We start from the raw sequence: 22,005 nt of genomic DNA, 5'->3' as shown, positions 1-22,005 counted from the left end.
AACAGCTTCTCCTGGAGAACTAATGAGGCAAAAAAGGCACCCGCAGAAGCGCTGAGCACAGCATCCTGCCCCAGCCACAAGCTTGATGCCCGCCTGCCCGTGGGACCGAGCTGGGCTCCATGGTTTTCATTCCTGCCTGAGGGCCTAGCCAGGCACCTGGCCACACGCACCTTTGTGATGCTATTAATAATCCCTCTCCTGGTGCCACCCCCATGCAGTCTTAGCCTGGCCCGGGCCAGTGGGGCAGACCCACTTCTGGGCCCTGAGGCTGCTGACTGGCCCAGTAAAAGTGGGCACATATTCCTACATGGGGGTTCAGGGTAGGAGCATGCACCTAAGTCTGGAACACATGTTTCTGCCCATCCCACACTTTCTCCAACCAGCTGCAATATCCACTAACTCTGTCCCCCATTCAGGACTGAGGGGAGACGAGCTGGCTGTATCACTGCCCTAGATGGCATCACCTATGGGTGAGCATGCACACTGCCAGCACTCCAGGGCCGGGGTTCAGCCATGGGGCAGGGCTTCACCAATGCCCTATGTCCAGTATCCACCTCTTCCCTGGGCATAGCAGAGTGGAATAAAGGACACTCCAGGCTCTGAATTACATAGGATCTGCAGAGCCAGCCCAGGGTGCTCCCCTGGGAGCCATCACCCCCTTTCCACCCTCCAGGGTTGAGTCTCAGCCACTTGTCCTCAAAGGGCATTGCTGCCAGCCCCCCACCCACCCCCACCCCCAGCAGGACCTACCTGAAGGATGGGAGGATACTGTCATAGTAGTACCAGGTGGCTGTCAGGTAGGCCCGGCTCATATCGGTGGAGTACAGGCGCCAGGCAGCCTGGTGGTATGGGGGACGTGGGGGATGGGGCATCAGTGAGGCCTCTCAGTCCCCACCAGCCCTCTCCCCTGAAAGAACCCAGTCCTTGGTCCAGTTGTGGGTTACCCAGAGCCAGAGGCCAGTTCCAATTCCACAGCCACTGACAGGGGCAGCCAAGAAAGTAAGGCCTAGGGAGAAACGACTTCCCCGAGGGGACAAAGCAGATCAATGTCAGAGCCAGGGGCCATAGAGCATAGAGGTTAAGAGCTGGAGTTTTGTTGTCAGGCAGACATGGGTTTCCAATCCCAGCTCTGCCCCTTATTAGTGAGGACAAATTAAGTAAAGCTTCAGGACCTCAGTTTCTTCACCTGTAAAACGCATGTAACACTACTTGCCTACCAGGGTGTTGTGAGGATTAAATGAACAGTTGTATATTAAATGCCAAGCTCAGTGCCTGGTATATAGTAGGCACTTCATGCCAGGTTCCTCTGTTAAACACTCCTGTTATTCCCCTTATCACATTTGATGAATACCTATTCATTGTGTATTTGACTGATAACTTTCTCTCCCCCTAGACTGCAAGCTGTGTCTTTGTTACCGCTGCATTCTCAGTGCAAATATAGTGTCTGGCACATGTGGGTGCTTTGCAAATGTTTGCAGAATGTCATTATTATTACTAGCAATGCCACTCCATCTTTCCCAGCTGCCTGTCACTGCCCATGGGAATACTAAGGACTGAGAGGGGAGGAAAAGCATTACCTACCAACCCCTCAGCATCCATGGGCTTGCCGAGCTTCCTCTGCAGCAGGAGGGATGAAAGTCAGACAGGAGGAGAGACTGTCCCTCTCCCTCCACGTAGGAAGAGCCAGGGAGGGACTGTGAGTGTGGCCATCAGTGAGAGCAGGGAGGCATGGAGGCTGCTAGGCAGGACAAGGCAGAGCTGGGCCCTGGACGCCTCCCTTCTTTGGATGCCTCTTGTCCTTAAGGGGCTGCCACTGCTGACCTCACCAGCCAGGCACCCTCCTAAGACAGGAATATTTTTACTTCCTGCTTGCCTAGGCCCCTGGCATGGGCTGGGGAGCAGCTGCCAGAGCTGTCTCATTAATTATGGGCACCACAATACTAGCTGTCTCTTGGCATGGACAGTGCCAGCCGCCTGCCCCTACAATGCCCCTCAGAAGGCCAGCTCCCAGGGGACAGTGGCCATTGTGCCCCAAGGGACGCTAAGAAGAAAAGGCTGAGCTGGTGGCTGGAGATAACAGCGACAGGGAGGAGGGTTCTACCCTGGGGAGGAGAGATAAGGAAGGGCTGAGTGAGGCTTGGGTTTGGGGCTCAGAGGGTGACAGGCTAGGGAGCAGGCAGAGGTGGACTGGGCCAGTATTCCCTGAAGCATTTCCTGCAAGGAGTTCCCTTACACACACCCCTGACTAGAAAAAGCCAAGGCCTAGTCCCAGGGTCACAGAAAATCAGAGCCCTGGCCTCAGCCCACACACAGTCACAACACGCCATGGCACAGAGGGAAACTGAGACCACACACTCCTGGCTTCCTACCCACCCCTCTGGCTGTTCCTTCTGTCTCCTTGCCCAGCTCAACTTTGCAGGCCCACCCACCTGCTAAATGTTGAGATTCCTAAAAGCCCTGTCTGCACCATCCTCTCTTCATTTGTGTGAGTGCTTGTGGAATGAATGAATGAATGAAGGTGCTGGAAGTGGGGCAGGCTTACTGCTGCACAGCTGATGGGGGCAGCAGTGGGTCTCCACCAGAGGCCTCCCAGCTCCTGTCTGGGCTCCGCCCCTCCCCAGGCCCTGTGAAGTTGGGCTGGAGTTGGGCAATAGGGCAGTTCTGGCTAGCCCTAAACCAGGCATTTGGTGCAGGGGGAAGTTTCTGGCACTGTCAGTGAGCATCCTGGCTCTGTGTGTGACTTGGCATGTGGCTCCAGGAAAGTCACATAGCCCTTTTGAGCTTCAAAGTGGTGTCACAGTTGGGCTGGGGACATGGGTCAGCACACAGGGTTGACACACCAGTGCAGTCACACGGCCCTGCTCCTAGGGCTTCTTCCCGGGCATCTTGTACCTGGATGAGGTTGGCTGCCGGCATCCTCCGCTTCTCGAAGTGCTTCTGCCGGTGCTGCTCCTGGACCTTCAGGGCAAAGCCGGAGCCTAGGATGCCCTAGAGGGATAGGGCATGGTTGGGGGAATGTGCTGGCAGTGGTGGGGCAGTAAGAGGCTGCAAGGGTGTCCCCATCCTTGCCCCTCTGAGGTACCCCAGGCTCCCCAGGCAAATGTGTGACAGGGGTGAGCAGGTCCCACCCTCAGCCTCCCCCACCAACTGAGCAGGAGGCAACTCACGGCAGGCAGGGCAAAGAAAGAGATGCCCAGTAAGGCGAAGCCAGCAGCCAGGACCCTGCCCAGCCATGTGTGCGGTGTCTTGTCACCATAGCCGATGGTTGTCAATGTAATCTGGAGACACAAACAGGTTACAGGCAGGACTGGTCACGGGGGCCACCTACGGCTTGTTGGGGGTACAGGCAGGTAGGAGCCTGATCATGAGGGAAGGGGCCCCTGGTCACCCACGGGGGCTGGTTAGGGTCATAGATGGATTCTCCCTCTCCTGGGCTGGTCAGGGGAAAGGGGTATAGTCACAAGGTCTTGATGTGCGGGGCTAGCTGGGGACAGAGGCAGGTCCACCAGAGCAGGTTGGGGGGTTAGCATTGGGGCTGGTCTCAGGGGGGTCCCAGCTCTAGTGAGAGGGCAGGGGCAGGCCCGCTCAACCCTGAGTCAGGAGTCACGATGGGCAGACCTCGGGAAGTTCCCAGGGAGGATCCCAGGGAGAAGGGCAGCCCTACAAAGACCCTCACGCACCGTCCCCCACCAGAGCGAGTCGGCGTAGGAGGAGAAGTCGGAGTTGGCGTCCTTCTCAGCCAGGTAGACCAGGAAGGAGGCGAAGATGAGCACCAGGAACCCGATGTACCAGGCGGTGATCAGCTCCTGCGGGGCAGGCGGAGGGGCGCGGTGAGGAGCGCTGTGCCTGCCTGGGAGATGTGGGGGGCTTCCACACGGGAAAGGGATAAAGGTCCCCCATCTCCCGGAGTCCCAGGCTCGCTTTTCTTTCTCAGCTCCTCCCATCACGGCGACCCTGCCCCGGCCTTCGCGAAACCGCCAGCACTCCCCCTACCCCGACCCCCATTCCCACCCCCACCCTCACCCCGCCTGCCTTGAGTCTCCAGGTTCCAGGCTCAGGACTCCAGCACCCGGCCTACCTTGCCCCGTCCCCCAAGTCCCACTTTCAGGCTTCCACCTGGGGCCCACCCTAGCCCCGCTCCAGCCCCACCCTCAAGTCCCACCTCAGCTGCCCACTTTGTGGTACGAGTGGTCCCTTCAAACCCAGAAGCATCCAGGGGAAACCCTCAAGCCCCGCCTCTCCGGCCCCGCCCCCTGATCCGGTCCGGACTCCTAGGCCCGCCCCTACCTAATTCAGAATCCACTTCGCCCCACCCGCTTAGACCTCGCCTCCTGCTAGGGCTCCAACCCCCGCAGGCCACACCCCTTCCCAGCACGGAGACAGCCCCTCTGACCTCGCCCTCTCCGCCCTGCCCGCTCTGGTCGTGCCCCAGACACGCCCTCGGGTCTCCGCGCGCGGCTTGCAGGCCTCACCTTGCTATGCGCGTAGACCACTGAGCCCAGCAGCTTCCAGGTGCCGCCGCGGCGGTCCATGCGCACCATGCGCAGGATCTGCAGGAAGCGCATGCTGCGCAGCGCGGACGTGGCGAAGATGTTGCCCTGGGTACCCGCGGCGATGACGGCCACCGAGGCCACGAACACGATGAAGTCTGCAGGGGCGGGGGCGGCGAGATCACAGCCAGCCTACCCCGCGCACGGACCCGGAGGCGGGGACTTCTGGGGATGTGGCAGGGGACTGGGGAGGGAGGGGGAGGGTCCGCTGAATCTGTGCGGGTCTCCAGGGTCAGAGTCGGGATTGGGAGTAAAGGCGTCACCCTGGCTCCTGGGGTCAGGGGTCAGGTCGGGCGGGGCGCGCCTCATTACCGATGACACAGAAGGGCTTTCTGGCAAAGCGGAAGCGACCCTGCCATCCTCGGTAGCGGCAGCAGCATCCGGCGGACCAGACCCGGACGATGTACTCCAAGCCGAAAACCACGATCATCACGAATTCCTGTGGGACCAGGGGCCTGAGTTCTGGTCCTCAGTCTCCAGAACTGGGGCCCAGGTCACAGCGCGGACCCAGCCAAGAGTCCCTGGGTTAGGGGGACCAGGGCCTCCTCGGACCCCTCTCCTGGAGTTTCCTGGACTTGACGATTCCGGAGGGCAGGTGGCCCCCTCCGCCTCCTGCAAGAAGACTAAAAGCCCTAGTGTGTCCTCCCCTTCCGGTCCCCATGAACTGATCGGATTTTTCTGCTCCTCAACAGGCCCTCCCTGTCCCAGCTGTCTCAGACTCCCTAACTCTGACCTGGTGACAAAAGGGGTTGCTGGCTGTCAGCTGTCTCCCTCTGAGGGGCTTCCATTTGGTGTTTTGTGTTTAGGCAAAAACTGACCTAAAATCCACCACACGTGGAGTTTGCAGATTTTGTCCTGAGAAGGGGTGGAGCCTACTCACTTCTATTCTGGACCCATCATAAGCCCTTGCATAGAGGCAGGAGGTCCCCCAACACTTGCTATAAAGTGGAGATGATGCCCAGAGAGGGGCAGCCACAGCTGAGGGAACACAGCACAGCAAGCTGCTCTCTGAGCCATGGTATGAGAAGCCTCTTTCCACCTTCAGCCCTCAGCCCAGAGGTGCCACCTCACACGGCCCCCCTCAGTCCCGGACTCCCAGCCCAGAGGTGCTACCTCACACAGCCCCCTTCAGTCCCGGACTCCCAGCCCAGAGGTGCTACCTCACACAGCCCCCCTCAGTCCCGGACTCCCAGCCCAGAGGTGCTACCTCACACAGCCCCCCTCAGTCCCGGACTCCCAGCACTTACCAAGATGAGGAGACACTCGTTGGCAAGTTCCTGGTGCTCCTGGATAGTGGACAGCACAGACAGCACCAGGCAGCTGAAGACCAGCAAAAATCTGCAATTACAACATGAGGGAGAGGGTTAGATTGTTGGAGGGACAGGACAGCCAAGGTGCCCCTGGCAGGGGGTTACAGAGCCAAGAGAGGAGAACATTATTTTCAGAAAATTATGTGGAAATCAGAATTGGAATTCCCTGGAGTTACAGCTCTGTGCTGGGCACCAAAGGCAGCAGCCCTCAAGCCCCAAGCTACTGGACCTCACAACTATCTCAATTGCCCCCTGCTGCAGGCTGCAGCTCAGAGAGGTAGTCACTCATCTGTGAGTAGCAGGTCTGGCAGTGGAAATAGACTGACTCAGGGTTCCTCCAGGTCTAGCCATCCACAAGTGGTGGCCTTGGCCCCAGCTTGGTTTTAAGATGTCTTGGGAGAAGTGCCCCAGAGGTCAGCCCAGGGCTCAGGGAAGGTCAGCGGATGAAGGAGGGACCTTCTTTCTTATGCACTCCAAAGTGGCAGGAGCCTGGCCTCATCTGCAGAATTGGGACAACTGCCCCTGCCTTCGTGGAATTAAGTAACGAGACAGCTAGAAAAGGAAAGAGGATCATGGAGGACAGGTAGAGAAGGAATGATGCAGCAGGGAGAGGATGTAGGGAGGGGAATTGGGCAGTGTGGAGCTGGGCCATCGAGGCCAGGAACTTCCCTGCAGACAGCATGAAACTACAGAGTGGCCCAGAACCAGAGACATAGAAATGGAAGGAACTTTAGACCCTAGCACATCCAATACTTCCCTCATCCCCCAGTGCACCACGAGGAAACAGGCCCGAAGAGGAAGAAGGACTCACCCTTTGTCGCCCAGTGTGCCCAGGACAGAGCTGAGATTAGAGCCAGGGTTCCCAACCTCCCAGTGGATGGGAAGAGGACCAAGGGCATGAGGAGAGAAACTGGTGGCCTTGCGGTATGTGGATGGGTGAAGGAGAGCGAGGTGAGAGGTCACAGGCTGCAGACACAGCAGAGGCGAATGAGGTGGCCTCCAGGAGCACCCCTCTTTAGGATGGGGGTGTGCTGAACATGCACACACCCTGGAGGAGACTCCGGAGGGAACAGGCTTCTCTGGAAATACATCTCTGTGTACTGACCCGCCAGCCTTCCCAGATGTCCCCAGTCTCCCCACCTCTGCACCGTTGCTGGCACGGTGCATGCTACGCAGAACACCTCATGTCTGTGCCTGCGAGACTCTGCTCATCGTCCACGCCTACAGGAACACAAATGCTACAAAGCTCTACGGAGCCTCTGATTCCCGCACCCCACTATCCCCCCTTCAGAACTGCCAACTCCCGATGCTTGCCTCCCTATGTGTGGCCCAAGTCACCTTCTATGTGGCTTTATTTATATTCATGTTTCGTGGTGACCTTAAGGACAGCAGCTCGGGGTCAGAGAGACCTGAGTTTGGATCCCAGTCCTGCTTGTGTGTGTGGTTTTGAGACTGTCACCTGCCTTCTCTGAGCCATCTCGTTATCTATGAAGTGGGGGCTATGGAAGGAAGACATGCAAAGGGCGTGGCACTGCCCTGGCTCACTTACACCTCCTGGACAGGGGTTCCTGACCTTTTTGGGGGGCAAGTGTATCCCAGCAAATACCCCTGGTTTGAGAAGGTAGGTGGCAGATGTCGGTAAAGTGTTATGAGTGAATGAGTTCGAGAAGAGCTTATTCCTCGGCCAGTTCCAGACCAGAGCTGAGTCAGCAAAAACACGGGGTACGGGAGAACAGAAGAGAAGAGCACCAGCTCCTCATGTTCAATAATTAATCACAAAAAAGGCAGCGGCCACATGTACCTGCATCGGGACTGCAGCTGAAGCAGGGTTTAGGACCAGAAGGGTCCTTCATGAGGTTATCTCATGCAGCCCTCTCCTCGGGGAATGGCCACAGCCAGGACTTTTTAAGACTTTACCCCGGCCTTGACAGACACCCTCCAGTCCCGTTTCTCAGCTGACCTCAGAAGCTCAGGCAGCAGTGGGCCACTCTGGGGACTTCTTCTTGAATGTTTCATTAACACTTTTCTTTTTCCTTTTGCTTTTTTTTTTTTTTGAGATGGAGTCTCATCCTGTTACCAGGCTGAAGTGCAGTGGTGTGATCTCGGCTCACTGCAACCTCCGCCTCCCGGGTTCAAGCGATTCTGCTGCCTCAGCCTCCCGAGTAGCTGGGGCTACAGGCACATGCCACCGTGCCCAGCTAATTTTTGTATTTTTAGTAGAGACGGGGTTGCACCATGTTGGCCAGGATGGTCTTGATCTCCTGACCTCGTGATCCACCTGCCTCGGCCTCCCAAAGTGCTGGGATTACAGGCGTGAGCCACCAAGCCTGGCCATCATTAACACTTTTCTTGCCATGTCAGTAATTACACATCTATAAAATTTCCACTTCACAATTTAAAAAAAAAGGAAAGCAGATTATAAAACCTTAACGGCAATGTGATCCCAATGTTTGAAACAGAGATGGTTTTTACACACGTACCCAGAGTCAGCAAGGCTTATCTATGGGTGGTAAAATTAAGTGATTTGGCTTTTGTTTTGCTTTCTGCTTATCTGTATTTTCTATTTTTTGTTTTGTTTTGTTTTTTTTTGAGACAGGGTCTCACTCTGTCAACCAGGCTGGAGTGCAGTAGCATGATCACGACTCACTGTAGCCTTGACCTCCTGAGCTCAAGCCATCCTCCTACCTCAGCCTCCTGAGTAGCTGAGACCACAGGCACATGACACCACACCCGGCTAATTTTTAAATTTTTTGTAGAGATGGGGTTGAACTATGTTGCCCAGGCTGGTCTCAAACTCCTGGGCTCAAGTGATCCTCCCGCCTCTGCCTCCCAGAGCTGGCAATGTAAGCCACTCGCCCAGCCAGTATTTCCTAATATATTGTTTGGAACAAACATGGGTTGTTTCGGTAATAACAAACTAATATAAAATTTAAAATGCAGGCTGGGTGCGGTGGCTCATGCCTGTAATCCCAGCACTTTGGGAGGCCGAGGTGGGTGGATAGCCTGAGGTCAGGAGTTACAGACCAGCCTGGCCAACATCGTGAAACCCCGCCTCTACTAAAAATACAAAAGTTAGCCAGGCGTGTTGGTAGGCGCCTGTAATCCCAGCTACTCAGGAGGCTGAGGGAGGAGAATCACTTGAACTTGGGAGGCGGAGGTTGCAGTGAGCCAAGATGGCACCATTGCACTCCAGTCTGGGCAACAAGAGCAAGACATCATCTCAAAAAAAAAAAAAAAAAAAAAAAAGGCCGGGCGCAGTGGCTCACGCCTGTAATCCCAGTACTTTGGGAGGCCGAGGTGGGCAGATCACAAGGTCAGGAGATCGAGACCATCCTGACTAACACGGTGAAACCCTGTCTCTATTAAAAATACAAGAAATCAGCTGGGCTTGCTGGCGGATGCCTGTAGTCCCAGCTACTCGGGAGGCTGAGGCAGGACAATGGCATGAACCCAGGAGGCAGAGCTTGCAGTGAGCCAAGATTGCGCCACTGCACTCCAGCCTGGGCGACAGAGTGAGACTCCGTCTCAAAAACAAAAACAAAAACAAAAACAAAAACAAGAAAAGCCCACTTTGGATCCTGCCCCACCCCTTGACCACAGTCGCCTCTGCCATTTAGCAGGAGTGAGGATGTGGCAGCCTCTCCCAGGTGTCCAGCTCGTGTGTCCAAATGCCTGCTCAATGACTCTTCTTGGATGTCTGGTGGCCTCTCAAACCCAACACCTCCAAACACCAGTTCTCAATTTGTCCTCAAGTCCTCCTCACCTCCAGCCTACCCATCTCAGTAACGGCACCACGGCTCCCCCAGGGCTCAGGCTCCTTCATTCTTCCTTTCCCTCCCCCTGCACATCCCCTTCTGAGCAAATTCCATTGGCTCTACCTTCAGAATCTATCCCTGGGCAGGCCAGGTCGCACCATCCCAACCAAGCCGCCACCATCTGGCACCTACCTGGCCTCCCTGCCTCCACTGTGCCTGAATGTGACCACTCCCTTCAACGCAGCCAGGGTCATCTTCCCACAATGCACAGCTGGAAACCATCGCTCTCCACAAAACTCTCGTCGGACTTCCATCGCACTTAGAGAGGGAAAGTCCAACTCCTCGGCACTGACAACAAGGCCCTGCAAGGTCTGTGCCTCCACCCCCGCCTCCAAACTTGACCTTCTTCACTCTCCTGCTGGCTCACTGCACCCCACTTATTCTGGCCTCCTTGCCAGTCCTGGAACACACCTAACATATTTCCACCTCCAGGCTTTGAACCTGCTTTACTGTTTCCTCTGCCTCACCCAGGTCTGTTCCAATGCCACTTCTTTGGAGGGGCCTCCCCAGCCATCCCCTCTCTGAAAGAATGGCCTCATCTCCACTCTCTTGCCCCTTATTCTGACTGACCGATTGCTTGATTGATTTCACAGCACTATTGAAAGACTAAGTAAATGAATAGCAGGAGTTCACTGTAACCAAACATCAAAACACCATGTTACCAAGCCAAAGCCTCCAGTTTGTACCCACTGAAGAGGTCCCCAAAGCACATCCATCCCTGACTCCTCTGGCTGCCCCATGTCTTTCCTAAAAAGTAACGCCTCTGACCTTGACCATCTCCATTTGGCGGACGCTGCTTAAAAAGCCCCCAAACTTCACTTCTCCCTGCTTTAACCCACTGGCTAAGAGTTTCTATACCCTTGATACTCTCATTACATTTGAAGGGATATACTTGGACTAATAGAAAACATCCTGGGACGAGGCGCGGTGGCTCATGCCTGTAATCCCAACATTTGGGAGTCCAAGGTGGGAGGATTGCTTGAGTCCAGGAGGTCAAGACCAGCCTGGGCAACATTGTGAGATGCTGTCTCTACAAAAAAAATCAAAACAAAAATTAGCCAGGCATGGGGGTGTGCATCTGTGGTCCCAGCTACTCGGGAGGCTGAGGTGGGAAGATCGCTTGAGCCAGGGAGGTTGAGGCTACAGTGAGCTGTGATCTCGCCACTGCATTCTAGCTTGGGGGACAGAGCCAGACTCTGTATCTCAAAAAAAGAAAAGATCCTGTGTTCCAGGCACCTGAATAATTATCCATATCTTCCAGCTGAGGAAATAGAGCTCAGGGAGGGATAGACTTGTTCAGGATCACACAGTGAATCAGTGGCAGAGCTGCAGCTAGAACCCCAGCTCAGGCTGACCCTCAAGCTGCCTTGGCCTTCCTGGAGTGGGGGTGGTCCTCACACAGGGACAGCAGAAGAGAGATCAGTATCTGGAGGTCAGGGGTAGAGGAGACAAGGTGAAGGAGCCCCTTAGCTGGGGTCTCATGCCTGCCACAACTAGGGTGTGGCTTCATTCATCCAACAAAGGACTTTCTAAGGATTCTCTCTGGCCCCCTCTGGGACCTCAGTTTCTCCATCTATACAAATATAGATGAAACATGGGTGCTGGCTGGCCTGGGCCCTCTCTAATCTCCCCAGCAGACAGGCCAGACTAGCGGCCACTTTCTAGGACATCTTTGCCCATCATGTCTGCCTGCAAGTTGTGGCCCATGTTCTTTCTCCCTGCCCAGCCCAGGAGGCAGAATGAGACAGGCGGGTGTTGCCTGGCTGGCTCTCCCCAGCTGGTCTGATCACAAGGCTTATCCAACCTTTCCTCTCCATTTCCCCCATCTCCCCATCCCATGACTATCCCACTCGTTCAGGAGGGAGCAAGAGGATTAGAGATGAAAAAGTGAATGGTTTGCTTAGATTTGTGGTTTTCAAACTACGGTGGGTGTCAGAGTCACCTGGAGGGCTTGTTAAAATACTGATTTCTGGGACCTATTCCTACAGTGTCTGATTCAGTAAGTTTGAAGTGGAAAATATGCCTTTCTACAAAGGTCCCTGGTGATACTATTGCTGCTGTTATGGGGACCACACTTTGAGAATCACTGGCTTAGGTGATGGGAGCAGTTGCAGCTGACTCAATTATTAGCCAGCTCAGGGCTTTTAAACAACTGCAATCACCGCCTTCTCCACATTTATACCTCCTCAAGTCACTGTCCAGAAGCGGCCACAGGGCAGGAGGGGGAAAGCTCTGCTGGGGAGGTGGCTCTCATGTGGTGACCTGAAGTAATAACCATAACTGCTCCTGCTGGCCAAAGGCTTCCTATTGGCCAGACACTGTGCCAAGCCCTCTAAATGCATGTTCTTAATGAGTTCTCACAGTGACCCCATGGAACCGTACCATCATCACCCTGATAAGGAGAGGGCGGTTCAGAGGCGTATACTGTGGTGACTGCAGAGCTCTGTGAATACACTAAAATCCTCTGAACTGAACACTTTAAAAGGAGGAATTTTACTGTATGTGAATTATATCTCAATAAAGCTGTTATTCAAATGAGAAAAGAAAGGTATGACTTGTTCAAAGTCATAAGCGCAGGACCTGAGCCCAAGACCACCTGGACCACCGGGCCCTACTAATGCTCTGGGCCTCAATTTCCCTGTCAGAAACACACACAAAGGTCGGGGACAACTCAGTGATGGTTAAGGTCCCTGTAGCTTGGTAACTCTCCAGCAGTGGGGTGGAGAGGATCGGCCATCAGCTCAGCTCCAGATTCTCTGGGGATGTCCCTGGATCCAGCTGAGGTCTCTCTCTTCATACCCACTGGGCGTTTGCCCAGTGTCCACGGCTCTCTCTCTCGACATGTCCAACATGTCCCTGGAGGGACAGCTGCTGGGAGGCCAGGCCAGAGAGATGGGGATATGATGGGGGTAGGAAAGATGGCAGGGCATCTCACAGCAGAAAAGAGGTTGTCACCTGACCTCTCTGGGCTATATTCACTTCAGACACCTACACTCAGCCAGGTTTATTGTAAAACCAGAAATGAATAATCCAGGTCCCAAGGAATTAACAACACAGAACATGACACAGTGGTGACGGGATGGACGAGGCCATGACAGTGTACTCAAGGGGTCGGGGAGAGTCCCAAGAAGCCTTCCGCACAACCAAAGTGGAGGGATCAGTGAAGACTTCTTGGAGGAGGTAACTGGACAGGGGTCGGGGTGCCCCAGGCAGAGGAAGCAGGATGTGCAAGCAGTGGGAATGTGGCCGTCGAGGCAGCCCAGAACGGCCAGCAGTTCTGGATGGTGTGGCCTAAAGTGAAGGGGGCAGTGGAAAAACCAGAGAGGGCCAGACCCAGGGGCCTTGAGTAGCATTCTCAGGCACTGTGAACATGATCCCAAAGGCAATGGGGAGTCATTGTAGAGTTCTTTTTTTTTTTGAGACGGAGTCTCACTCTGTCGCCCAGGCTGGAGTGCAGTGGTGTTGGCTCACTGCAACCTCCGCCTCCTGGGTTCAAGAGATTCTCGTGCCTCAGCCTCCCGAGTAGCTGGGATTACAGGTGCCTACCACCACGCCCGGCTAAGTTTTGTATTTTTAGTAGAGACGGGGTTTCACCATGTTGGCCAGGCTGGTCTTGAACTCCTGACCTCAAGTGATCCACCTGCCTCGGCCTCCCAAAGTGCTGGGATTACAGGCGTGAGCCACCGCACCTGGCCAATTGTGGAGTTCTAAGAGAGGAAATGACACAGTCCAATTTGCATCTCAGGACCACTTGGGGAAGTACACAGAATAGATCAAAGGAGATAAGACTCAGCAGAAAGACCAAGAAAGCTCCACAATAGCTCAGACGACAGATGACTGTGGCCTGGCCCAGGGTGGTGGCAGCAGGGAAGAGGAGTGGATGGGTTGGAAAACACCGCAGGAAGTAGGGCTCGGTGATTAACTGGAAACGGGAACTAGGAAGGAGAACAACTTCTCTATTTCTGGTTTGGGCATTGGATGGATGAAGGTGCCATGAGTGCCTTCATGGGACGGGGGAGACCCCACTGGAGGAGCAGGTGTTGGGTGGTGGGCATGTTGAGAGAGAGAGAGGGCTATGGGCACTGGGCAAACACTCCATGGGTATGAAGAGAGAGACCCGGCTGGAAATGCAGATCTGGGGGACATCAGGGTAGAGGTGGTGACTGAGGTCACAGGAGCAGCTGAGACAGTCCAGAGAGCTTGTAGCAAAGTTAGAGGAGGACCCGATGGAGCCCCAGCGGTGCAGCAGGAACAGAGGCCCTCTACGCAGACTGGGAGGGATAGCCAGAGAGCTGGGAGGGAAAGCAGAAGAGAGAAGTGTCAGAGAGGCCACGTGAAGAACATGTTTCAAAGCGGGAGTAGACAACAGTGTCAAATGCTGCCAAGAGGTCAAGTGAGATAAGGCGTGAAAAATGTCCTCTGGATTTGGTGACACATTGGTCACTGGGTCCCTTGGCAAGGGCAGCCTTCTCTCAGAAGGAGAGGAAGACCAGAACAGGCCCAGAAAAAGTGAGAAAGGGGAGGGGCAGTGAGGAGGTAGAGACAGTAAGTGTAGGTTTAACAATTTGAAGATGTTTGACTGCAAAGAAGAGATCAGAGATCGTAGCTGGAGAAGGATGCAGGGTATAGGGAATCTTTTTCTTTTCTTTTAAGATGAGAGAGCCAGAGTGGAAGGAGCCAAGAGATCAAGAAGGAGAAGTTGAAGATGCGGGGAGACAGAGTGAGTAGTCAATGGAATGAAGTCCCCAAGGAAGATGGGAGGCTGGGATCCAGAGCCAGGGAGGAGCTGGTGTGGAGTAGGAAGGATCCCTCCAGCTTCCACAGGGACAGGAAGGCATGTAGGTGGGAGGAGGCTGTGGGAAGGGAGGAGGCCGACAGCCCCTACTCACTGGGGACTGCTCTGGGAAGAGGCAAGGCCCAACTCTCAGAAGTGGGCAGGAGGGTGGGGTGGGGGATCTGAAGAGATGGAGGAGGTATGGAGCTGGGAGAGGAAGGTGGGAGAAAAGACCACGCCTGGAGAGGGGTCCCATGGGAGCACAGGACCATTATCCTCAGCAGCGAGGATGGCTCTTCAGACCTGGAACATCACAGGCACTCAACACATGCATTTCAGGGTTTTATTTAGGTTTTTTGTTGCTGTTTGTTTTTAAGGCTTGATTATCCAGTAGGAAGCAGCCTGTGTGAGAAGAGGACCGCTCCCCACCCCCAAGTATCCACCAAGGCCAAGGTAAATACAGATCCAGGCCTTGCCCCCTCCTTCCTCCAGAGCCTCCTTCCTTCCCTCGTCTTTCCAGCGTCCCTCCCAGACTGAGCCCTGCCAGTGTCTGGGGACTGCCCAGCCACCAGCAGTTTCCCTGATTTCTTTTCTTTTGAGACAGGGTCTTGCTCTGTTGCCTGTGTTGGAATGCAGTGGTGCAATCATAGCTCACTGCAGCATCACTCTCCAAGGCTCAAGAAATCTGCCTGCCTCAGCCTCCTGAGTAGCCGGGACCACCACACCTGGCTAATTTTTTTTGATTTTTAGTAGAGACAAGGTCTTGCTATTTTCCCAGGCTGGTCTCCAACCCCCAAGCTCAAGTGATTTGTGCATCTGGCCTGGGGAGCGCGTGACTCTTTCCTTGCCCCCTAGACCAGGGCCCAAAGGCAGGGCTCTGTCTCCCCTCAGCTGGAGGACCCTGAGGCCAGTCTGTCCTCCATTCAGCCAAGGTCCCTAGAGGGCAGAAGCTATGGCCACCATCACCTTCTGGAAGAAAGGGGCTCCTTAAACCCCAAACCGGAGCTGATACCGAAGAAGGGACTTCAGCTAGACTTGACAGGCACTTCCTGACAAGGGGGGCAGCCTGGAGGCCCCCAGACTCTTCTAGAGAGAGCAGGCACTTACTTTCTCCTGCAGGGGAATAAGGGGAGGGGCAGTAAGCCAGGCCTCAGAGCGAGGCTCTTTCCAAGAATCCTCAGGGGCTGGGAGGAGAAGTTTCCCCTGATCCAGCGATTCTAAATATGGCAAAGGGAGCAAGAGCACGTGACCCAGGGCCCCACACCAGGGCCGCCGCCACTGCCGCTGCTGCTTCTCTGGGCCAGAGGCTTGCGCTGGGGCTTAGAAATTGCAATGGGGCCCTGATGGAGCCTCAGTTTCCCTGTCTGCAACATGTAGGTGGAGCACTACTCAGTAATGGCCAAAGTCCCTTCCGCCTTGTGACTCTCCAGCAGTGGGGTAGAAAGGAGAGAGTTGGCCCTCAGCTGAGTTTCCCTGAGGCTGTCCCTGGAGGGACAGCAGCCGCCAGCACATAGAACAAACTATGAAAAAAATGCCCCCTCTTGGAGGATGGCTTAGAAAAAAAGCATTCCCGTTAGCCTGACAAGTTATAAAAACTTGACCCCTCTAGACGGACCCATTAGCACAGGCATCCCTTCCCCTGGGCTGCCCCACCCCTGGGCATAGGCTGGATTCCAGCACCCCTCAGCCCTCTCAGCCGGCCCCTTTGTGGCGCCCAGACTGCAGAGCGACACATGACAGCCCTGCGGTTGGCTCCACAGCACTCTCCTGGCCGCCACAGATTCATGGAGAGCTGGAGACTGACCCAAGAAGGGCCCACCCATAGGTTGGGCTGAGCCAATCGGATTGTCTTTCGCAGGAATGGAACTAAGAACCACAGAGGAAAGTTGGCAGAGGTGCAGAGAGATGGGCCATGAGACTGCACTACGCTGGAACCTCATCCCCCTGCTCTCTATCCCATGAATCCAAAATGTGCTTTCTGCCTTGAAGCCTCTAAAGAATTCTCTTTCCTTACCATATCTGTCCTCTACCTCCAGAAGCCAATTTTTCTTTTTCTTTATCCCAAATGTAATAGTACAGAAGCCAGTTTTTATTGAGCCAGCTTGAATGGTTTCTGTCCCACGGGACATGAAAGGCAGTGTCTTCTAGACAAGGTGTTTGATGAGGAATAGCTTCCTCCTCTCCCACCTGCACCAGCCCCAAACCTTCCGACTTGTTCTGTCTGCTTCCTTCTGCCGTGCCAGCCTGCCTACCTGTTGCACCAGGTCAGTGGGCTGAGCAATGTGTTGACAAGAGCCAGAGTGGAACAAAGAGGACACAGGGGCATCCATCTGTTGGGACTGGCCAGACAGAGCTGACTTCTCAAACAGGGAGGTGTGGGCCCTCCCAAGCAGGATGCCATTGAAAGGAAGGGGAAACATGGGGTGGAATTTAGGCAGCCAGGATTTGAGAAACTCAAGCAAGATGGCTAGTGGAAACCTTCCCTCGGTTCCACTGAGCAGCTCCGTGCAGATTCGGGTGGCTCAGTTTTACATGCTGGCTTTGGCGTAAAAATTTCATGTGAGGCCGGGCGCGGTGGCTCACGCCTGTAATCCCAGCACTTTGGGAGGCTGAGGCAGGCGGATCACGAGGTCAGGAGATCGAGACCATCCTGGCTAACACGGTGAAACCCCATCTCTACTAAAAATACAAAAACTTAGCCAGGCGTGGTGGTGGGCGCCTGTAGTCCCAGCTACTCCAGAGGCTGAGGCAGAAGAATGGCGTGAACCCAGGAGGCGGAGCCTGCAGTGAGCCGAGATTGCGCCACTGCACTCCAGCCTGGGCGACAGAGCAAGACTCCATCTTAAAAAAAAAAAAAAATTTCATGTGAACAAAAAGCTTTGCTGTTTTTTTAAAAAGTGTGAAATCCACTGAGTTGTGGGCCCAGGCCCAAACCCCTTAGCATGATTGCAAGGAAAGCCCCACCCACCAGGCCAACTTGCTCTTCACTAGCCGGTACCCAACCTGACACTTGGCACTGCATTATCATAGCTCTGTCCCTGACAATGGCAAACGCGCTCTTTTCCCCTCCCCACCTTTACTCATGCTGTGTCTGAGCATGAGCTCAGACTGGCAGGCTTAGGTCAGAGCCCCCACCTCATGCTCCCTTAACCCCCATCCCACCTCCAGAGGGAAAAACAAATCCAACACATCTGAGCCAGAAGGGTGCCTTCTGTGTTCCAGAACTACCAGGAAAGGAGTGATCCCAGAGTGGAATGAGCAAGGGGAGAGTGGTGGGGGGTGAGGGCAGAGAGGCAGGGGAGGTGGAAAGCGGACCATCTACTGGCTATGGTAAGGATCTTGGCTTTTACTCTGAGTGAGATGGGGAGTTTGAGCAGGGAGTAGCTCAATCTTCCTTATGTTTAAAAAGATCACACAGGCTGCTGAGTGAACGGACTATGGTGGGGGAGAGGGGAGGAGGGAGCAATGACGTTTGCCCCATTGTGAGTTGGAAAGTATAATCCTGGCAAGAGATGCCAGTGACTTTTTGTTTGTTTGTTTGTTTTGTTTATTTTTATTTTTAAGAGATGGGGTCTTGTTATGTTGCCCAGGCTGGATTGTAGTGGCTATTCACAGGTGTGATCCCACTACTGGTCAACACGGGAGTTTTGACCTGCTCCGTTTCTGACCTGGGCCAGTTCACCCCTCCCTAGGCAACTTGATGGTCCTCTGTTCCCAGGAGGTCACCATATTTATGCCAAACTTAGTGTGGACACCTGATTGGAATAGCTCACCACAGCCCAGAACTCCTGGGCTCAAATGATCCTCCCACCTCAGCTGCCTGAGTAGCTGAGACTACAGGCACATGCCACTTCACCCTGTGTGACTTTTTTTTTTTTTTTTTTTTGAGACAGGGTCTCACTCTGTTACCCAGGCTGGAGTGCAGTGGTGCAATCACGGCTCACTGCAGCCTCAACCTCCTGGGCTCAAACAATCCGCCAGCCTCAGCCCCCTGAGTAGCTGGGGCCACAGGTGGGTGCCACCATGCCCGACTAATTTATATTTATTTTTTGTAGAGACAGGGTCTCCCCATGTTGCCCGGGCTCGTCTCGAACTCCTGGGCTCAAACAATTCTCCTGCCTCCATCTCCCAAAGTGCTGGGCTTACAGGCATGAGCCACTACCAGCTGATGATGGTGACTTGTATGAGGGGAAGCGGAAGTGGCAAGATATGACCAGATACTGGCTATATCTGGGCACTGAAAGGTCCCTTAGAGATTAACCAACCTTCTCATTTATAGATGGGGAAACTGAGTCCCAGAGAGGGGCCTGGCTTACCTGTGATCATACAGTAGATCAGAGACAGAGTTGGGCCTGGCACCCAGATTTCCTGATTCCTAATGCAATGTTCTTTGGATTTCTCCTCTGTCTGTAGAAGGACTCAGGCACCTGCCTCTCACTCCCACCTCAAAAATTCCCTCATCCTGGGGCCAAGATGGGACCTGCCCCTGCCCTTCCTGCTGCATGTGACTTTGTGGCAGTGGGTTCAAGCATTGCCCAGTTTCCCAGCTACTTGAACCTGGCAGGGGTCAGGGTAACCTCAAAGGAGCCTTCTGTCCTCTGAGTCAGCAGAACCTGTGCACTATATTGGGGGAGGGAGAGGGAGGGAAGAGTCCAAGACAAGGGAAAGAGTTAGTCCTTGCCACTGGGTTCTCAGTACTTCCAGGGCAGAGAGAGCACCAAGAGCTGACAGGGTCGAAGAGGAGCACCGTGGAGGGCAGAGTTCCCTGGGGAGCTCAGGTGCCAAGACTGAGCCCAGCCCAGGAGTTCTGTAGACTCAGCCATTGAGGACCCCACCCAGTGGGTGGTTTGGGGACACAATGAGGAAGAGGGGTTTCAATGCCTTTGTTACTAATAAGCAAAGCAGCATGCAAACTCACAGGCCACACCTGGGGCATCTGGTTACAGCTGCCCTGAGAGCCATGCTCCCAGTGGGAACCCCAAATCCAGGACCAGCCAGACTGAATCCAGTGGGCTTTGCAAGCTGGAAAAGGCTTGCTGTGTGACTCGAGGCCAGGAGCGCAGCTTCTCTGGGCCTGACCCACAGCTAAGGTGGAAGGGTGGTTGGGAGGGTCTTTAACTGGAAGCTGGGAGGACATCTGCAGATACTCTTCTTAGTTTCCTCCGCCTGTAAAGAGAAAGGCTGCCCAGCCTGCAGGCCCAGCTGATGGAGGCAGGATCCTGAGTGGTGGCTGTGAGAGAGGTGTCAGGATTGGGGGGCAGCAGAGGGAGAAGCAGAAGGGCGTGGACACAGCTAGAAAGCTGGGTCGGTGGGTTCTGTCTCCTGACTCCGCCACCAGTCAGCTGAAGACTTGGGAAACTGTGTCTGAGTCTCAGCTTATTCCTCAGTGGGAGGAAGGGATTGGGTGGGAGTCTCTGAGGGCCCTATTTTTTGCTGATCCATCTGGGACTGGCAATTCCAGCTTCCCTAATGGGAAGCAAGGCCGTGGACGGCTCCTGAAGCTGCCAGTCCTCAGGGACTTCTGTGTTCTGGGAGTCCCCAGAAGAGGGTCTTTTACATTTCATTTACATGGAAAGTTTAGAGGGACCTCCTTCTACCTCCAAAACCCTCCCATAATTGAATAATGATAAGCAGAACTTCCAGTAACTTACTAACCACAGAAACCGTGCTGGAGATAGGGGGAAGGGGACAAATTGTATCTCTGGTCCTGATGCCCCCTCCTCTTCTAAATGAGGCAGACAGTCCCTAAATGTATCTCAGTCAAAAGAATGGGCTTGAATTCAGCTCTGCTCTGCCTTGGCTGTGTGACTTTTAGCAAGTTAACTGTCCCTCTCAGGACTCAGTTTCTTCGTCTTTCTAATGGGACCAATGATCCCTGGTCCGGCAGTCTGGAGGCAGGGGTCTCCCCTGGGTGAACCTACAGAGGGGTTGCAGAAAGGCTTGGGTTCACGTAGGGACAAGGGAAGCAGACACCCTGCGCGACTTCTCGGGAGAGGTACGGGTTCCTGCGGGGAGGGCTCCTGGGGGACTCCTCCCCCAGCACAGCCCTCGGCCCCCTTCCCCCGCCCGGGCTCCTTCTCCTCAGCAGGGGCGCCACTGCTCGGCACTCCCAGGTGCCCCCAGCCCGCCTCGGCGAGGGCGGGGCTTACGGAAATGGGCGGGGCATGCCGGGGGCGGGGAATGGTGGGCGGGGCTCTTGCGTCCCTGGGAGGGGCGGGGCTTTGCCAATGCCAGGCCCCGAGAGCGGGAGGGGCCGGGGCGGTGCTGCGGCTCCGATTACCTCCCCGCGGCCTCCCCCGCCCGGCCGGCTACTTTTTCCGTTTCCAAATTAACAATTGAAAACGCGGCGGCCTGAAAGGCGAGCAGCGGGCCAAGCGGAAAGTGTGAAGGTGCCGCCGCGTCCCCGAGGCCAGGGGCGGAGAGGGGGGACGCGACGCCACCGCCGCCTCGGCCTCGCCCTTCCACCTCACAGCACCATCCTAAAGGGCTCTTGGAGTAGGTAGTTTCACGTGTGACCTCAAGTAAGTCATTTCACCTTACGGAGACTCAGTTTCCTCATCCGGAAAATGGGGAGAGAAGACACACCGACCATACAGATAGTGCGGAATAAATTACACAATAGGTAGCAACTATTACTATCTTGTATGGGTAATGATGATAATATTGAGTCCCAAGCCCCCTTCCCCCTCCCATCATAGCCAAAGGAGTTGCCCACCAAGGGAGAATACTGGAGCTGAGGTCCAGTATTCTGGTCCCCTCGCCTCCTCAGGACCTCCCCAAATCCCACCTGACAGATAAAGAAATCAAAGTCGGGTCCTTGCAAAGGGCTCAAAGTCAGGAGTGAGTAGGAAGAACTAGGCCTGAGCCCAGGTCCTGGCCCCGAGGGCCAGGCTGTTCTTACAGAGACAGGTGCTCCCTGGGGCTGGCATCCTGGGCATGGGACCCCTTCTCCTCTGTCATTGTCCAGAGAGGTGAGTGCTGACACAGGGCAGCTGGAACAAATGAGTAGGTAATGGGAAGAGTCCCTGTTCCCAGGCATCCAGCCCAGGCACAGGTGCCAGATGGTAGACACCGGGGATAGATACAGTTCCTGGTTCTCCCGCCCCCCTCAATGTAAGCTCCATGAATGCAGGTACTTGATCTTGTTCCTACTTTCTCTCCAAAACCTAGTGCAGGGCCTGGTGCATTGTAGGTTCTCAATAAATGTTGAGTGAATGAATGAATAAATGAACGAATGAGTAGTCCAGCCAGCTGAGAAAAGCCTCTTATACAACTGCGGCCTCTTGCCTGGCCACTTGTGTGAAGTGGCCTGCTTTGGAGAGGGGGTTTAGGGTGAGTGCCCCTCTCCCCAGCCTGGAGACCTAGGGCAGTGGAATAGCAGGAGAAGAAGACAAAAACTGAGACAGAACAAAGGAGGAGGAGATAGGAGATGTGGTCCCAGAAAGCAGAGTTAAGATCCCCTCTTTCTTCCTAGCCCCTCAAGTCCCATTCCTGGTCAGCCCAGGACTCACCCCCATTCCCCTTCCCCCCAGCCAGCCTCTCACTGACCACCACAA

At 54.9% G+C, this 22,005-nt stretch overlaps 1 protein-coding gene and 1 pseudogene across 6 annotated transcripts in view, besides 10 other annotated features; both read right to left on the bottom strand.

Annotated features, from left to right (window-relative positions):
• Positions 1-22,005, bottom strand: part of KCNQ4 (potassium voltage-gated channel subfamily Q member 4) — a 56,666-nt gene that overhangs the window by 17,300 nt on the left and 17,361 nt on the right. For 3 of the 6 annotated variants that reach the window (NM_004700.4, NM_172163.3, XM_047434057.1), the window contains exons 2-8: positions 5,798-5,888; positions 4,863-4,989; positions 4,473-4,648; positions 3,681-3,806; positions 3,168-3,278; positions 2,893-2,988; positions 751-839 (exon numbers count right to left, since the gene is read on the bottom strand). In NM_004700.4, the coding sequence (NP_004691.2) occupies positions 751-839; positions 2,893-2,988; positions 3,168-3,278; positions 3,681-3,806; positions 4,473-4,648; positions 4,863-4,989; positions 5,798-5,888 (816 nt within the window). Of the gene's footprint in view, positions 1-750; positions 840-2,892; positions 2,989-3,167; positions 3,279-3,680; positions 3,807-4,162; positions 4,194-4,472; positions 4,649-4,862; positions 4,990-5,797; positions 5,963-22,005 lie in introns of those variants that run through there. The other 3 variants (XR_007064876.1, XR_007064877.1, XM_017002792.2) reach the window with 2 other exon arrangements.
• Positions 1,895-2,396: an enhancer, noted in NCBI's record as "H3K4me1 hESC enhancer chr1:41286429-41286930 (GRCh37/hg19 assembly coordinates)". NCBI's record gives its function as "activates a minimal SCP1, AML or CMV promoter by ChIP-STARR-seq in primed H9 embryonic stem cells {active_cell/tissue: H9 hESC(primed)}" and the evidence as "EXISTENCE:reporter gene assay evidence [ECO:0000049][PMID:30033119]".
• Positions 1,997-2,141: an enhancer, noted in NCBI's record as "145 bp enhancer 247 fragment used in the MPRA reporter construct; PK_construct_4127". NCBI's record gives its function as "activates an SV40 promoter by MPRA in K562 cells {active_cell/tissue: K562}" and the evidence as "EXISTENCE:reporter gene assay evidence [ECO:0000049][PMID:23512712]".
• Positions 2,039-2,183: an enhancer, noted in NCBI's record as "145 bp enhancer 242 fragment used in the MPRA reporter construct; PK_construct_4321". NCBI's record gives its function as "activates an SV40 promoter by MPRA in K562 cells {active_cell/tissue: K562}" and the evidence as "EXISTENCE:reporter gene assay evidence [ECO:0000049][PMID:23512712]".
• Positions 2,061-2,078: a transcriptional cis regulatory region, noted in NCBI's record as "GATA motif; MPRA enhancer 247 activity is reduced when this motif is scrambled". NCBI's record gives its function as "necessary for full MPRA enhancer 247 activity {active_cell/tissue: K562}" and the evidence as "EXISTENCE:site-directed mutagenesis evidence [ECO:0005528][PMID:23512712]".
• Positions 2,103-2,120: a transcriptional cis regulatory region, noted in NCBI's record as "GATA motif; MPRA enhancer 242 activity is reduced when this motif is scrambled". NCBI's record gives its function as "necessary for full MPRA enhancer 242 activity {active_cell/tissue: K562}" and the evidence as "EXISTENCE:site-directed mutagenesis evidence [ECO:0005528][PMID:23512712]".
• Positions 4,221-4,280: a silencer, noted in NCBI's record as "silent region_735". NCBI's record gives its function as "represses an Ori minimal core promoter by ATAC-STARR-seq in GM12878 lymphoblastoid cells {active_cell/tissue: GM12878}" and the evidence as "EXISTENCE:reporter gene assay evidence [ECO:0000049][PMID:35858748]".
• Positions 4,601-4,650: an enhancer, noted in NCBI's record as "active region_855". NCBI's record gives its function as "activates an Ori minimal core promoter by ATAC-STARR-seq in GM12878 lymphoblastoid cells {active_cell/tissue: GM12878}" and the evidence as "EXISTENCE:reporter gene assay evidence [ECO:0000049][PMID:35858748]".
• Positions 9,279-9,778: an enhancer, noted in NCBI's record as "H3K4me1 hESC enhancer chr1:41279047-41279546 (GRCh37/hg19 assembly coordinates)". NCBI's record gives its function as "activates a minimal SCP1, AML or CMV promoter by ChIP-STARR-seq in naive H9 embryonic stem cells {active_cell/tissue: H9 hESC(naive)}" and the evidence as "EXISTENCE:reporter gene assay evidence [ECO:0000049][PMID:30033119]".
• On the bottom strand, positions 18,012-18,307 carry RN7SL326P (RNA, 7SL, cytoplasmic 326, pseudogene; annotated as a pseudogene).
• Positions 20,372-20,971: a silencer, noted in NCBI's record as "silent region_734". NCBI's record gives its function as "represses an Ori minimal core promoter by ATAC-STARR-seq in GM12878 lymphoblastoid cells {active_cell/tissue: GM12878}" and the evidence as "EXISTENCE:reporter gene assay evidence [ECO:0000049][PMID:35858748]".
• Positions 20,678-20,862: a silencer, noted in NCBI's record as "fragment chr1:41267963-41268147 (GRCh37/hg19 assembly coordinates)". NCBI's record gives its function as "represses an EF-1alpha promoter that drives an FKBP-Casp9 reporter gene in an ReSE screen in K562 erythroleukemia cells {active_cell/tissue: K562}" and the evidence as "EXISTENCE:reporter gene assay evidence [ECO:0000049][PMID:32094911]".

The sequence above is a fragment of the Homo sapiens genome, chromosome 1, assembly GCF_000001405.40.
Source record: "Homo sapiens chromosome 1, GRCh38.p14 Primary Assembly".
NCBI classification, from domain to species: domain Eukaryota; kingdom Metazoa; phylum Chordata; class Mammalia; order Primates; family Hominidae; genus Homo; species Homo sapiens.
Note: the sequence above shows the minus strand (reverse complement) of the source record. Positions and strands in the feature narration are given on the sequence as shown.